The sequence below is a fragment of the Homo sapiens genome, chromosome 4 (assembly GCF_000001405.40).
Source record: "Homo sapiens chromosome 4, GRCh38.p14 Primary Assembly".
NCBI classification, from domain to species: Eukaryota; Metazoa; Chordata; class Mammalia; order Primates; family Hominidae; genus Homo; species Homo sapiens.
This window is the reverse complement of record NC_000004.12, coordinates 162,159,462-162,176,834: the sequence shown is the minus strand read 5'-3', so window position 1 is coordinate 162,176,834 and position 17,373 is coordinate 162,159,462. Positions and strand designations below refer to the sequence as shown.

At 33.1% G+C, this 17,373-nt stretch overlaps 1 protein-coding gene across 4 annotated transcripts in view, besides 1 other annotated feature; it reads left to right on the top strand.

The window, feature by feature from the left end:
• Positions 12,572-12,681: an enhancer, noted in NCBI's record as "active region_22095". NCBI's record gives its function as "activates an Ori minimal core promoter by ATAC-STARR-seq in GM12878 lymphoblastoid cells {active_cell/tissue: GM12878}" and the evidence as "EXISTENCE:reporter gene assay evidence [ECO:0000049][PMID:35858748]".
• Positions 12,835-17,373, top strand: part of FSTL5 (follistatin like 5) — a 780,104-nt gene continuing 775,565 nt past the window's right edge. For all 4 annotated transcript variants that reach the window (NM_001128428.3, NM_001128427.3, XM_011532126.1 and 1 more), the window contains exon 1: positions 12,835-13,220. The gene's annotated coding sequence lies outside the window, so the exon portion shown is untranslated. The remainder of the gene's footprint in view (positions 13,221-17,373) is intronic.

Here is a 17,373-nt window from a genome sequence, read left to right as displayed (position 1 = left end):
ATGCTACACATTGGCTTTTGGCATTATGAAAAAGGAAGGGTGTCTGCAGCCTAAATATTTGCAATAATAATAAGAATGTCCTAATTCTTAGAGGATGCCCATCATTATTTTGCCATTTCCTCTGCTTGTGTTTTTCAATGTCATGCTCAGGGAAACAGGAGAATGAGCATGTGTGAATGCAGAGGAGGAAATCTCCAGATCACAAAGTTGTGTGAGCAATAGAGGGATGCTAAAATGAAGGTCAGGAGTCCATCAAAGTCATGGTTGAATCAGGAGAGACAGAGAAAGCTACAATCTTGGAGAAAAAGGAACATATAACTTTATAACTTTATGGAGCAAAAGAAAGAGAGAAGAAATGAAAATAGGTAAGTTGGAGAATCAGAGAAATTGTATGTTAGATTGAGAAAAATTTAATGGAAAGAATAAATGTTAAATTGACAAAACAGAGTCTGATATGAGGAAGATGATGCTAAACTTCGGATACATGACTTTTTATTGCCCAATAATTTAAATTAGGAGTTGCTTTGATCTTATAGTTGCTTCTATTGTTCTTAAGTCCTCAAACACAGATCCATCAAAATCTTACATCTATTTGCCTGTATTTAGGAATCAGTCTTCGCCAGAGCAGAGAACATACCAATGTTATCAGCTTCTTCCACTTATGAGGTTGAAAATTACTTGTGATCCTCAAATCTGTGTGCAGGTGATTCATCACTAATAAGCATATATTTGCCATCTGGAAAAGTTTCTGCTACAATACAGGTACCTATAAACCTGGTCTTTTTTCTTGGAGAAAAAAGATTGAAGCTACCAGTATGGAAGGTGGAAAAATCAAGGTTGTTAGATTGTGGTAGGCGGATGTGAATCCCAGTTTTGCCCCTTCCTAGTTACTATACTTTAAAATATCAGTTTGCATCTCTAAGATGGGGATAAACTTGAGAATGAACCTCTTTAAAATTATAGGTTAAAGAAAACTACACAAAATTACTATTTGAATCATTTTAATTTGCGATACAGTAGTGTTAACTCTATGTACATTGTTGTGCAACAGATCTTTAAAACTTTTCCATCTTGAAAATCTGAAACCGTACTCACTGAATAGCAACTCTCCATTTTCCCTTCCCCCAGCCATTGACAACCATCATTCTACCTTTTGTTTCTCTGAGTTTAAATAGTTTAGATACCTCATATAAATGGAATCATACAGTCTATGTCTCTCTGTGAGTGACTTATTTAACTTAGTATAATGAATTTCACTTAGTATAATGAATGTCCTCACAGTTCATCCATACTGTAGTGTTTGACAGGATTTCCTTTATTTTAAAGGCTGAATAATATTCCATTGTATGTACATGCTACTTTTTAAAAATGGATTCATCCATTGATGGAGATTGGGTTTACTTTCACCTCTTGGCTATTGTGAATAGTGCTGTAATAAACATGAGTATGCAATTATTTCTTTGAGATCTGCTTTCAATTCTTTTTAGTATATACTTTAAAATAGAATTGCTGGATCATACAGTAATTCTATTTTTAAGTTTTTGAGGAATCTCCATACTGTTTTCCATAGCAGCTGCACCATTTTACATTTCTGCCAACAGCCATCACTTGCTTTCTTTTACCTTTGTCTACTGTATTCCCAGTAACTATTAAAACATCCAACCCAAAGGAGATTCTCAATACATATTTCTTTAATGATTAAAGTGATAAATACATGATGAAATTTCTTCTTTACATTTCGTATCAACCTCTTCCACTAAAATCTACAACTTGCTTATTTAGCTTCACTTATATGACTATATTAATCTAATTTATGTGTATATATCAGGAAGATATACACATTTAATTTAGAAGCAAATCCATTGACAATGTCTTCTTTTTATATTTAGAAAAATGGACTTGAAACACAGTTAAAGTTGAGTTACTATCCAGTAATCAATCTTTGTCAAAGAATTTTATGAAAGTGTTAAGTTGGAGCAAATGCAATGAACATTTGTAGGAAAAAATAAGAACTTCTGTAATAGATGAGGTGGAGTGTGTTGAGAATCTTCAGCTCTCGTTTAATTAGGATTGATTAAATGTTAAAATGATAATGAAACAAGGGAACTGCAACCATTAATTGAACATGAAGATAGGTAATAAGGCAGGTTATCTGTGAAGTGAAACTAAGGAAGCAGCTTTGTGAAGTTGCCTGCGATTATTCTGGGACATCTATTGTGTAGCTAAGTGAACCTTGTCACTTGATCAAAGTCAGCATAAAACAGTGTGCCAGTAGCAGGGCTTGATTTGAAGTAAAAATACATAAATAACCAAACAAAACATTGCATTATGGGTGCACTGAATTGTTGCATAAGTCTAGGGCATCTGATTATTTTAATGTTTTTCATAAATTTTCTTTACTAGTTAGTCTTGATATTTTATGCTCAAATAGTAAACATAGCCAATAGAACACATTAATCTTCAAGATGCATTTTAAAATGTGTTATTTCTCTTTGTTTATAACTTTTAATTTCTTTCTTATATTTCACTGGCTAACAAAACACTTTTATTTATTCAGTATAAAATGTCCTCATAGAACTATTTTCAGTAATTTAAGCAGCATTCTGTAAAATAAGTGATGCTATAAAACTCTTTGGGCTAAGGTTTTATGAAACAATTTAGTAACACTGTATTGTTACTCATAATTGCTATGCACCATTGAGGATAATTTAGATATGATTGATTTTAATGTATGCCACCTATATTATATTTGTCCTAAAATATTTTCTACAATAATTATATTACTTTAATCTCTATTTTTAGGTGAAATAACTGGAATTTGTACATAGTATTTAAATCCTATAGTACAAAATATTTATCCTATTTGCTGCTGGTTTACTTAGGTAAAATACTAGGTAGAAATATTAGGCAAAAACCACAATTACTTTTGAAGCAACCTATCCCTAAGTTACCCTTGTTTACATCTCTCTTCTACATTTAGGAACAGTAAGTATAGACTAAGAATCTACAAAGTGCTTTACAGAGTAAGCTGAGACACCTAAGTCACTGTTAGAAAGTTGAAACATATAAATCAGAGTGTACATTGCTTACTCTCAGATAACAAATTTTCTATCCACACTATACCTAGAACTTGACATATATATTTTTGTAAATATTTATAAAATATTAAATTAACTATTTGCAGATAAAATTAGGCATAATTAAAATTCTAGTAATGTTAAGACTGCTTGATAAAATAGACATTTAAATGACTAGTGAAGTTATAGCAAGCTTAAAATAAATTTAACAGATGATATTACTAAGATTCTCACTGACAAGGTTTAAGAATATTTTACGAAATGTTATATTTAGTGAAACAATATTTAGATATTCTTTCTTTCAGCAGTTATTTATTAGGTTTCTCCTACTTGCCAGTTCCTCAGTACGAGATGAGGATATAGGGTTGAATAAAAAATAAGTCCAAACTCTCATTCTGAGATAGACAACAAACATCAATAAGTAGATAGAGAGCAAAGACATAAATAAGTAAACATACATGCTTTTAGATTATGTATTTACTGTGAGCCAGAAATTCACATTACATTATGGATATCAAGCTCATAAATTTTAGCTGTTTTCTCTGAAGTTATCGCTATCTAGTTATTAGACAGAGGAATTGAAAAAATATTTAAAATCAGAATTAACATAATGATATAATTCTACAGTGGTTAAAAGAAAGTGTCACAATCAGTTTGCAGATAAAGTTCTGTGAAAGAAATAGCATTCAATATACTCTTTAAAAAAATGAATAGAATCTTAAAAGGCTAAAAGGAATAGTAAATTAATGCATTGCCAAGTTCATTAATGTATTTATTCAGTAAATATATATTGATCACTTATATTACGGACAGTTCTCTAAGCATTCAGAATACAGGTACGAAGAAGTTGGGCCTTACACTCAGTGATGTAAGATTTGGGTGAGAGAAGACATGATATTGACAAATGAATGAATGAATAATACTAAGTTGGTGCAAAAGTAATTGCAGTTTTTACCTTTGAAAGTAATGGCAAAAACAGCAATTACTTTTGCATCAACCACATATAATTTCAGACATTCATGTATCATTAGCTGAAGAAGCAGTACGAACATAATGGTTAAGAATTTGTGTTATGGTGTATTGTTAGTCAGGAAAAACCACTTCAGAGAACTAAATGTTATGGTGTCATCCATGGGAAAGTCTGAGGAAGATAAGTCATTATAATAAAAGGATATTTGCACATGTATGTTTATAGCAGCACAATTCACAATTGCAAAAACGTGCAACCAACAAAAATGCCTATCAATCAACTAGTGGATAAAGACACTGCTGTACACACACACACACACACACACACACACACACACACACACACACACATATATGACGGAATACTACTCAGCCATAAAAAGGAATGAATTAATGGCATTTGCAGCAACCTGGATGAGATTGGAGACTATTATTCTAAGTGAAGTAACTCAGGAATGGAAAACCAAACATTGTATGTTCTCACTCATAAGTAGGAGCTAAGCTAAGAGGATGCAAAGGCATAAGAATGACACAATGGACTTTGGGGATTCAGGGGGAAATGGTGGGAAGGGGGTGAGGAATAAAAGACTACAAATAGGGGGCAGTGTATACTGCTTGAATGATGGGTGCACCAAAATTTCACAGACCACCACTAAAGAACTTACTCATATAACCAAACACCACCTGTTCTCTAATAATCTATGGAAATAAAAATTTTTAAAGAAAAAGCAATGGAGGCTAATTGCTGAAATTCAGTTATCTGGATAATCACAATATTCAAAAGAGTAGGTAATTCGGTTGTTTTTAGGTAGAGAGAATAGCATAATATGCATTTAACAACTGTTGCTCAATCTAGTGTATGGAGGATGGCATCTGAAAATAGGCACAGGCAATACCCTAAAATCTGTAGTCAGGTATTTGATATCTAGGAGCAATATCCATAAATAGTTTTCGTCAGTGCTTCAGAATGACTTTTAAAGGCAAAACTTTTGTCCCTGGTAGAAACAACCTTAAGGCTTATCAGACTGGGATGATTTTAGGTATATCACACTAATTGCATACTTATTACATTGTATTGTAATGGCTTGGTTGGGTCTTATTTACGGTGTTATCTATTATTTACTCTTGAATCTCTAATTCCCAGTATATCTCTGTCACAGTAGACACCTGATTTCTATTTGTTGAAAAGATCATTGAAGGCATACTTGAAAAGAACTAAGTCGGTTCCTATTCTTGGCAAATATGGGTAAGTGGAAATGAAATTCAGATAACTGAAGGATAGAGAGCCATCACTAAAAGTGTAGAGTGAAACTCAGATAATTAGTTTTAGAGTAATGCATTTGGGCCAGAATGACAGAAAAGCTAAGCTGGTACAGCACAATACAGAGGGATCTAGCACCAACAACTAGATTTTCAGCCCCAAAGTGACTTGTGTCACTTCTACTCCTAAAAATTCTTTGTACAGAAGTGGGCACATGGCTCCACTCAACCATTGGAGACCACAGAATGTGATTCAAACATGCACAGGAGGAAAGAGGGTAGTTAAAAGATGAGATTCATTTTATCTGATTCCAGGTAAATATGAAATGTATAGAATAAATAAGACTTTATCTTAGGAGATCAGTGAGATCTATCATGTAAGAAGCTAGAGAACTCAGAAAATGTAAAACTAAGGTGTTGGTGAAGGATTAGTGCATACACAACTATTTCAAAATTAGTTCAGTTGCTGAAACATATCAATGTCTTTAATCTATTTATGCTGTGGCAACAGACCAACCAAGTTCAAATCTCGGTGGCCTAAAACAAATTTCAAATCTCAGTGATGTAACACAATCAAAGTTTATTTCTTGCTCATGCTTTGTGTTCATACTGGGTCAGCAAAAGCCTCTTGGTTCATAGTTGTCCTTCAGGAGTCCATTCTGTCTAAGCAGTCACTATTTCAATTGTTGCCAGTTACTTTGACAGAGAGAAAGGAGTTGCAGGATCTTGCATCAACAGCTAAATTCTCAACCCAAAAGTGACTTGTGTCACTTCCACTCACAATTCTTTGTATCGAAGTGGGCACATGACTTACTCAACCACTGGAGACCACAGAGCATTATTCAAATATGTGCATGGGAGTAGAATGGCCATGACGTGGTAATCAGCCGTGATAAATACAAAAGAAGTATATTGTGAAATGCTAATCTACTACATAGAATTGTTTTCATGTTTCTTTTTCAACAGTGTTGGCCTATTTAAGTTCAAATAATTTCTACATAATATCAACAAACAGCAATCAACATTTTAAAAGTGATACTTTAAGAAAAGTAACATAACCATTTCTGTTGGGTTCCTTACCACACTTCCTCCCAAACAGTTTTAGTGCTATTCTTGGGTTCAAAAACTGGAACAGTTACTTTGGGTCATACGGTTTGGAAGGATCTTCTGTACAGGAAAGGTTAAAAAGCATAAGGGAAAATCGGTAGTAATTTCTCACTTTGCCAAACTCTTTTCTTTACTTCACTTTGAGGATGTATCACTTCGTACCTGAGATTTTACTGATTTTGACCTGCTATACTTTCTCTATATTTCTAATACTTTTCATTTATAACTTACTTATAATAGAGTTTTACTTATAGAGTTATTAATTTATGTATTATTACATGCCTACAATATTTGTATATTTTTCACATACAGATACAAGAACTTAAATTTCAGATTTTTCTCCATCCTTTCTCATAGCTGTGACTTTCTTTTTTTTTTTTTTTTCCTAGCAAGTACCTGTGATACTTGGGGAAAAATTACTTCTCTGTCTGGATAAATATGCAGATTATTTTCATTAGTAACATTATATTTCCTTACACATTATGATATTTCTGAACTCAAGACTTAAAGCTATATTCTCTATGTCCTTTTACATTCTGCTGTAAAGGTTATAATGTAAAACATGTTACTGTGTTTACTTCTTTTGAAACTGAAAGAACCATTATTTTGTCTCTCCTATAAACCGAAGTGTGGCCGGGCCCAGTGGCTCACGCCTGTAAACCCAGCACTTTGGGAGGCCGAGACGGGTGGATCACTAGGTCAGGAGATGGAGACCATCCTGGCTAACACGGTGAAACCCTGTCTCTATTAAAAACACAAAAATTAGCCAGGTGTGGTGGCGGGCACCTGTAGTCCCAGCTACTCTGGAGGCTGAGGCAGGAGAATGGCGTGAACCCGGGAGGCGGAGCTTGCAGTGAGCTGAGATCGCGCCACTGCACTCCAGCCTGGGCGACAGAGCGAGACTCCATTTCAAAAAAACAAAACAAAACAAAACAAAAATTCAGAAGTGTAAGTAAAATGGTGACGGCAACTAATATGAACAGGGACATTAGATTCTAAAAAATAATTAACATACATTTTTTAGATGTTGAAATAGCTGATATCGAAACGCTTTTAAGACCAACTCCCATACCATATGTGTTTTATGCATTTGCTTAATACTTTAAATTCAACAATAGATATTACAGATTTCCAACATAAATCTATTCATCAGCAGCACGTATTGTAATCATTGTGGGCAAATATATAACTCAAGTTGTGAGAACTGAAATTCTCATATGCAATACCAACATAGGCCAATAGATGCCCTAAGAGCTCTCTTAAACACAAGCACTCTAAGAACGTAAGTTGTCTGTCTGAGCATCAGCAAGTCTCATGCTTTTTTTTTTTAAAGTTCAATTAAGAAATAGCATCATAGTTTTAGATTCCAAAGAATCTTAATATTACCGAACTTTAAACTGCCTCACGAAGTACTAATTTCTATTCTATTAAAGTAATAGAAAAAAGAAAGGAAAACTCAATGAATTGATTTAAAAATCTATTAATACAATGAAGGTAACAATATATCTGATTCACATAATTGATTATTTCTAATTTTATAAATGCAGCCAACAATATTATTTATTACTGTGGTACATAAATGTAATTCTAGGGTTAATTTAATCACAGAAGCAGATCAGATTGTGTTGTAAAGTATTTCTTGAATTAGCTGATACTTTTAGGGTTTCCTGCTTTTACTATAATTTCAATTTTTTTTCTACAATATTGCTATTAGTATAGGGTACTTAAAGGCTTATTAATGGATGATATTTTAATTATGGTTACTACTTCTAGATTTTTTTAACACCGAAGTTAATTCATAGAAAATAAAGGATACTTAAATATGTTTGTTATATAAATCTAGCAAAATAAAACTATGTTCTTATCTCGCCAAGTTTAGTTTATAAAAAATTACATTCAGATGCTTTTTCCTAAGCCAAGGAAAAAATGATTTACTTATAGGTTTATGTCCACATTTAACATCCCTAAGGAGGATAGCTCAAATTGTGAAGATACATAGCTCTATAATAACAATTTTTAATTCTTATTTAATTATACTTACTAAATTTTTAAATCAATTCATCATTTCAATCTATACTTTTATAGAGCAATATTTTTTGAATCCATTCATATGAGCTCGAAAACTCTGTGCATTGACACGTTGATAGATGCTTGCTCTTATTGAAAGTTAATTCCCATTGTTTACTAGTGTGGGAAAATCAAACATTTTTACCAAGCCAAAACAGAAAGGCAAAATACAGCTTTAGGGGGAAACTCATAGCAGTATTACTTGGAAAGCAGGATGAGGGTGTCTGTGAAGTTGACAACTAAATAAAAAAAATACGAAAATGCATAAAAACTAGAATAGTTAACACAAACCTGAGTCTGCTAAATCTGTATGTTAATGTTCATTCCCCATGATGTGGCTATATAAAGAGCGGGTTTTAATTCCCTTCAATTGAGAAGATGAAACTTATAACATTAATAATCTATATTTATCATGGAGAATAAAATAGGTTTATTTGGCTTTGCACCCTCAGCATTCATGGTACATCCTTTGATTATGCAGTGGTTCTTTAAGTGGCCAGTTACTATAATTCTGAGTTCATTTTGACCCCAAATTATTGATGACAATGAGCAAATCTTTTATTTAAGGCCAAACCTAGGTTTCTGTATTAAATGTGGTAGGTTTCAGCTTTCCAGTTAAGCAGCATTTATTAAACCATGTTCTGTCTTTCTCCAATTAATATTACCTCAATAAATATTGATATCAAACAATTTCTTAAACCTATAACTTTTATTCATACTATACATTTATCCAGGTTCTTGTAGAATTTAAGAAGCCTGTTTACACAGTGAGAATTAAAGTTTATATGTGCATTAATCTGATAATTTGAGGGGTAGAATAGCAAAAAGTTATAGTCAGCTTTTAGCCAGTATTTCTGAAAAAGTCCGCCACTCCTTTATGAAATGTGCCATTTTGATGGTGGATTTATAATTACAAATGATAAAAATTGTCTCTCTTAGTGTATCTTTCTGTGTGTTAATGTAAATACTAGCAAGAAAAGACCTTTCACAGTAGTCTTGATTAAATTTAACAATCTTATCCAAAGCCACCAAAATGCCTATGCTATGATATATAATAGAGAAAATGAAAAACAACATAATCTCAATTTTAACATATATTGAGATTTCAAATAATTCCAATGAAACTAATTGAGATTTAAAATTAAACTGATATAATCTCATGAAAATTGTAATTGCTGCTTAGATAAAATACGTGTGTGTGCATAATGAAATAGTGTTCTTTAATTTGCGGGTTTATTTATTAGTAGTGAGTTTTTAATTCATATATCTTAAATTTTATTTCCATAATTTTAAGAAAACATATTTGAAAATTCTCTTTAGTATATCCTACCCACATAAACACACACACACACACACACACACATGCACACATATAAATTTGTTTAAGGTCACAATTTGGAATTAGCTAAGAAATTTAATATAAATATATTGTGTCAATATTTCTTTCAATAACAAAATACTGTATTTAAATGCCCTTTACCACAGTAGACATATACCTAATAGACATTTTAAATAGAACATTACAATGAAATAAAACATATGTGGAGAGCACAAAAGGGCCCAAGGGAGCAAGAGATAGAAAGTAAGAAAGTAATGGAAGTAAAGAAGATGCCATATATATATATATATATATATATATATATATATATATATATATGCTCTTTTTTGTGTATATGCTGTTTGTATTTATATATGCTCTTTCTTTCTATTATATATTTTTATATATATGCTCTTTCTTTTTAACCTTTTTATAGTGATTCCAAATTATATATATATATAAAATAGGTTGAAGTCTAATATAAAATTACAGAATGACAAGCATGTAATGAATTTTGGAGATAACAGGATAACCTATATATTTTACAAATGATGTGTGTGATGAAAAGGTTTAAATAACTTGCCCTCAGTCACATTGCCATTTAGGACAGTACAAAACCAAGAATCCGCTAGGAGGATATTCTCAATGCTTTTCTGCATGTATTCATCTTTGTTCATGCTTCCCAAAATAGCTCTTTTCCTTTTTTTTTCTTTTCTTTCTTTCTTTCTTCTGTCCCTCTTTTTAAAGACAGTGAAAAAATGAGAAAATGATTTGGCTTTCCTTTCCATCTTTCAAAGGAAGGTTTGTTTTCTAGTTTTATTCCCTCAGGTTTTTCAATAATATTATGACTGCTTTAATTGAATTCATAGTCCAAAACATTATGATCACTGGAGTAAACTGAAAAATTATGTCCATTATACAAACAACATAGGTCTTGGTGGAATTTTATAAGCATACATCATGTACTCTCTATATTGCTAAAGTGAACTATCAAGATTTCTCTGACATTTCAGCACATTGGCATGAAGCAGACCAAAGTGTGCTATGCGATGTTCCCAAAAGAAGCATATCATGTGCGCCGTAGCCAGCCTAAGTTCAAGTTATACAGTTGGCTCCATTGTAATTGTAATTGTGCAACACCCATCTGCCCCCACAGATCATCTTTCCTGACATATCATGGTGTCTGCCACCTTTATTAAAATGACTTTGGGAATTGAAGAACTCATAATACATGCATGTATGGGTATATCTGTGCAAAAAGTCATGGCACTTGACACTTACAAATGCAAAATCAGTAGTTGTCTGAGAAAACAAAAACATTGCAGATTACCCAAAATGCAAAACTTGTAGTCAAGGTGTGTTGGAGAAATAGTACTGGGGATTGTACGTTCAGAAAAGAAATGGGCAATTTCTGGAATAAAGCCATAGAGAAAGTTTTATGTGGGTGTGAATCAGAATAAAAAAATGTTCCTTCCCTCAAGCAAAAACACCATAGTTTTTTCCTCTGTTATTTCTTCTTTTTTAAGTAACTAGAAAGAAGCAGTTTGGGGGTATGGGTCCACAAAGTAAATAGACTTCCTCAAATAACTTCTTAATATTAGAGAAAATAAAATGCATTATTTTTCCTGATGGGGAAATAAGTAAGTGTATTCCTTTGATTAGAGTCCCTGAAAAATGCTTGTGAGTGGATCCAGTGCTAGATGATATCAGACTCCTGGCATATGATGACACATATCAGTGTGTATGCATTCTGATGGAAAGCAATGTGTGAAATGCTATGACATTATTTGAATAAACAACCTTTTTTATTAAACATGCTTTATCCAACTTAAGAAAATTTAAGCTTAGTTTTAGATACCCACTTCTCTGTCCAAGTAAGTCATGATAGCTGTAGGTGGGACATGTGCATGGAATGTGAATAATCACCCTTCTGGATGATTGATTGCTTCAGTTCACTGAAAGTGTTTGTTTACAAGTTTAAGCAGTCTGTGGAATTTGGCATGACAGGCCCCCTTTCTCTTGCCTTCAAGGAGGCTAGAGCTTCACTGGGACAAGAAATATCACAAATACTGAGAGAATTGCTAAAGGCTATGTAAAGCTTCCAGCATAGCCCATCTTTCATAGAAATATTGATATAGTAGACATAATAAATATTGCATAACCTTCATAATTTTGGCAGTGGAAGTTGAAGCTGATAACTTTCACTTTTTATTATTTAATTTTTTTCCCTCTGGAATCTCCAAGTCTATACAGTTTGAGGATTTGTTTAAATCATGAGAATGAATAAGGAAGGTTCTGTAGGTTTTATAGGAACGCATATGAAGTATAATATATACTATGGAGCACTCGTATTTTTTTTCCTTAAGATTCTGTTTAGAAATGATGGTTAGCGCTGCAAGCTTTCACGTTTTCTCTCAGTGCTCAGAATTTTTTTTTTTTTCTTCCAGGCAAGTTTCTGCAGCAGCGACTCCCTCCAGAGGCTCCGTGAACCGAGGGAAGGGAGTAGGAACACCAAATACGGATCCGTTCAAATAACCAAATGGCAGGGAGAGGCAGCAAAGTTTGGGCAGGAAGATGAAAAGGATTGGAGATGTTTTCAAGAATGGTTGAATAGATTCATTCTATTTCTCCGTCTCCTCCCCACCCGCCTCCCACTCGGTCCTCTCCGTGCTCCACTGCCCCCTCTCTCCGCCCCGTCTTCCTTCCAGAGCTGTGCCCGCAGCGATCTTAGAGTGCGCAGAAACGGCAGTCCCCGCGAAGGCAAAGGCTCCAGCACCGTCAAAGCGTTTAGTTTCTACTGGACTGGTTGAGAATACATCCTGAAGTCCAAAGATGCCCACGCTGACGTTAAGCCTGAATTTTGTTGCCCCGATTGCCGCAGCTGACTCTAGCAGAAGCCCAGTCAAGGGGGCGGCCCCTCACCTCTCGGCGAGTTGATATGCAAAATAGTTACGTCAGATGGTGGGGGCGGGGCACCCCCGGGTTGAGTGGCAGCAGCTCCTGCCTAGGGAGGAGGAGCGAGAATCAGCCTGGTTCAGTGACTGAGACAAACTGGAGGTGAAAGGAGCTGGTACTGTCCACTGTGCTGTCGGTGCTGAACCTGAGACGCGAGCGGACCAGTTGCTCCAGCACCTGAAGGCAACGCCCTCTTGCACCCTCTGTGCCCTGTGGGACCCGCTTCACCAACAGGACCCATATCAACTTGACAAAGGAGTGTGGTATCGGACGTGGGAGAGAGTCCTCTGTTTGCCACCTGGGCGCTCATTCAGGCGTGACTTTGGAGATTTCTATAGTTTTAGACCAAACTATTTTTTTTTCCCCAGCTAAGACGATCTTTTGAGAGTTTTTTTTTTTTATTGTGATTTATATTTCCACAGCGTTTAGGAATCTTTCTGGGGGACTTTTGTGACTGTTAAAATAAGGTAAGAAAAATAATATTGTTATAAATGATTACAAGTGGGGGAGAAATACAGACTGCCATACAAAAATTTAAAAACAAGTTATGCTTATTTTTATAATTTGAAACTGGACTTTTGGCAATGATTACAAAAATATTTTAATAATTACTATTATTATTATTATTATTATTATTATTATTACAAGACAATCTGTTAGTGATTATGCACTAAATTCTAGAGGGGAAGTTGAGAGCTTTGCTTTTTGTGAAGTTGATGTCATTATGTTATATCTTGCTTTATAAATATAAATATTTTAGAGCAATACTTTCAGCAGGGTTCAAAGGATAGGAACCATTCCAGGAAACCCCCCAAATATATTAGCAAATGATGTTAAATAAATCAACCAACAAGTTGTTTAGAACAAATATAATCAAATAATTATTTGAATGGACTAGTCTCTGGTTAATCATCAATATTATTCCTATATCTAAAGCATAGACTTCAAAGTGCAGAGCTCTCTTAACATTTTTTGGAAGGGAGGAGGTAGGTATAGAAACATTTACATCATGCTGGGTCCATTTAGATGTGTTGTTATGCAGTAGATCCAAATAAAACTTGTGAAACTCAGTCTCTGAGCATTCCACACCCCAAGGTCATGTGTATTTCCAAGTTGGGGGCTGTTTGTTCTGCTGTTGACTAGCAAATGTCATCCCCTTGCAACCCCCTCAGGTTAGAGGTGGATGTAAATGGGAAGTTCTGATTTAATAATACAGTATTCGCTTGTATTATAGTCGCTTGTGCTGTTGGTAATTGAATGGAACTGGGAAGTGTGGGCTGAGAAAATGTCTCACTATTTCAGCAATGTTTAACCTCTTGCATGCTTAACAGAGAGCTTTTCTTTACTTAGAAGAATTTTCTTTTGAAGCTATGTTCCTTTTATCAATTGGCAGTGTGTTCTGAGTGTGTACAGAGAAAGAATTCAGTGTGGAAAACGACTGAACAATACTTCTCATAGTGAGCAATTATTAAATGATAGAAGTTATCCTGTGCTCTTTGTATTTCTTATTACTATTCATGACTTTGACAGGTGTGATGGTTTGCCTGATAAATGGAATTGTGGTCTCTCATTTATGTCATTTAGTAACATTAGATTAAGTATAAATGATGCCTGGAAAAGGACGGGGGTGGGGGATATTTCCTTTACATTCCAGAGAGAGAGAGTTTAGGTTGCAAGTAGATGTCCAATATTAATAGGAATGAGTTAAATATAAAGCTGTTTCGTACTTAATAAGTATTATTCAACTGAATAGAGCTATGCTTTTCAGCAGGCGTACACTAAGTTAGGTTTAAATATTTGTATATTTTAAAATATAAAATTTCTACTCTAGTTGCATTAGAGTTACTAGGATGAAGTTTAGCTTTAGAATTTTATGATTTAAACTAAATCCTCTAGGTAGAGATTTTTCATTGTATTTACTACACAGCCCTACAAGAGAGTGATTGTCACAAGCAATGCATATTGTTGCAAATACTAAAGGTCAAATGTAAATCTTTTGAAGTTGTTCACATGTTTTACCCTAAACAGATATTCTTTGTAGGATTCATGTCAGTCATGTGATCTTAAATTAAATATTCATACAAATTTTGAAAGCCTGGATTGGGTAGAGGGGCAAAAAAGAATATATAAAACACTGAGCTAGGAAGTTTATACAACATAATCTCCTTTAAATACACAGAGAATCATTCTTTCCACTACAAATTTTGAAATGTTCTTGTTAAAACTAATTATGTTGGTATAAATATTTAGGCTGTGAAATTTCTAACAGAATTATGGCTTATTTTATTTTCAATTTTATTTATTATCTTGAAACATGAATACATATCTTAATTTTATAACTTATTTGAAAGGCATACTATATATAAACATTATATTTACTCAAAATGTACCTAAGTGTGTCATTGACTTCCATTTGCACAAAGTTTTCCAAGATGTATGTCTTTATTCAAGTATAAATATTTACCTTGAACTACCAATATCTGGAATTCTTTAAGATGAAATTTAATGTTTCATCTAACAATAACATATTTAAACACTGAAGTCAAACTATGCTACTGGCAATAATAACCAAAGGTTGACTCAGTGAGATTGCAAATGTAAAACATTAGCTGCATTTTTTTTTCTGATTTTTCTACACTTTTAGCTTTTGCATCTTAGTCCTGAAATAAGGTAAAATTAGATTCCCATCATAAGCCCAAATTTAGCATATAGGGGACACTACTTAAATGCAGAATAACATTTCCACTGAAACTAATCAAATTGCCAACTTTGAAGACACTTATGAAAGATATTCAAATGTGGTGGCCCCTTATTAAGTCTTTGATCCACAAAGAAATGACCGTATTTTGGAGTTACAATGAATTCATGTAAAATGTAAAGGATTATTCAGTAACACAACACTGGATGTCTTGTTAAGACATTAACTCATTTCATTACAGACACACTGCAAATATATACAGCACCGTTTGCAGAAAAGTGATGAACTTCATAAAGTCTACAGAAAATTATCAAAATAATTTAATTATATATTACATGACGTGCTCAATTTGTCTTTTTAAATTGTTTCTCAACCTCTTGAGGGTTATCGATCAAACTAAAAATTGAGTCAAAAATGAAATTTATAGATAGATTATTTCTTCTTACAAATAAAATGCATTCCTGTTTATGTTTTGTGAGATTTAAGATAAGGGTGAATCAATTTGGAATTTTTATTATCAAGGCTGTATATTGCTTGCTTGCTTTTTTTTTGTTTTGTTTTGTTTTCTAGTTACTAACATGGGCGATAGAAAAATACAAGTCATAATAAATCTGAAATACTCTAAAAAGTTTGAAAAAAATAAAAATACCTTTTAAAATAATATTTAAGAAGTTATTTGCCTAATAATTTGGATAGTTTTCTTTGAATAATGACCATTTAAAAATAATATTTAAAGCTCATTTATCAATAAGACCCAAAGGCCTTGAATGACATCTTTCTATTAGTTCTTCATATTTGCCCAAAATTGACATAGTATCTCTCGTATTTTTTACTACTTAATATATTATGAAGCTCAAAAGACTCTTGTGAACTAATAAACTAGAAAAAAATATTTCCTGTTGTTAGAGTAGTTCTAAGAGTCAAGTGACCAATTATCCTTTACCAAACAGAGTTAATCACCTTCTGCTTCAACGCCTCCAAAATCTTTTGGGTATATCCTACTTTAGGTTAGCTGTAGAATCCCTTGTGGAAATATCCTAATTTTCCAATTAAATTGGTAACCATACAGTAAAGCAATTAGTCCCCCTGTGTTTTAAATCACCTTAGTATTGATGAATTGATATTATTATAATGGATGGGACCATGTTTTGATAAACTCAGAGTTCCAATGGGTTTTCTGAAAGAGGATGAATTAAATAATAGTATAAGTAATTGAGACAATTAGAATGTATATACGTGTGTATGAATTTATGTGTGTACATATATATTTACACATATATGTATATACACATATATATGTAAATTCTACTCTAGAATAAACATGCAAGGGCATGGCCTAGAACATGCAAGTTAAAGACATGCTAGCTATTACAAAATAATTTAGATAATAAGCTGTAATACAATATATAACTTTTAATGGCAATTTTGTCTTCTAATTACTGTTATTTTTTATTTCGGCTAGAATGCTTGTGCACATACCAGTTTTTTTGGCATTAAAATGACATTTAGAACCTCTCATGCTGATTGGCAAGGCAAGGAACAATTGAAAATGAATATTTGCCAGGAATAAAAAACAAAATGGATGTGTGCATAATGAAGAGTTTATAGCACCACATTAATTATTTAAAAATATGAGTTCTGATAAAGGATTTGGAAATTACAATCTATAAAAGTAAAACATCAAGTTTACTTCCTACAAATCTTCAGATAATAAGCCATGCACCTCTGTAGAACACAGCCTGGATATCCCTGCGCATAACATATTTTTATTCCTTGTGTACTAATGTTTTCACACATAAATGTGGTAAAATAAGAGAACAGCTTCACTCTGAACTTTCTTGGTTTAAAATCAAGTAATTAATATTAATTTAATGTGGCTTTTGGTATTAAATTACATACATCTCTAAAGCAAAGTGGTTGCT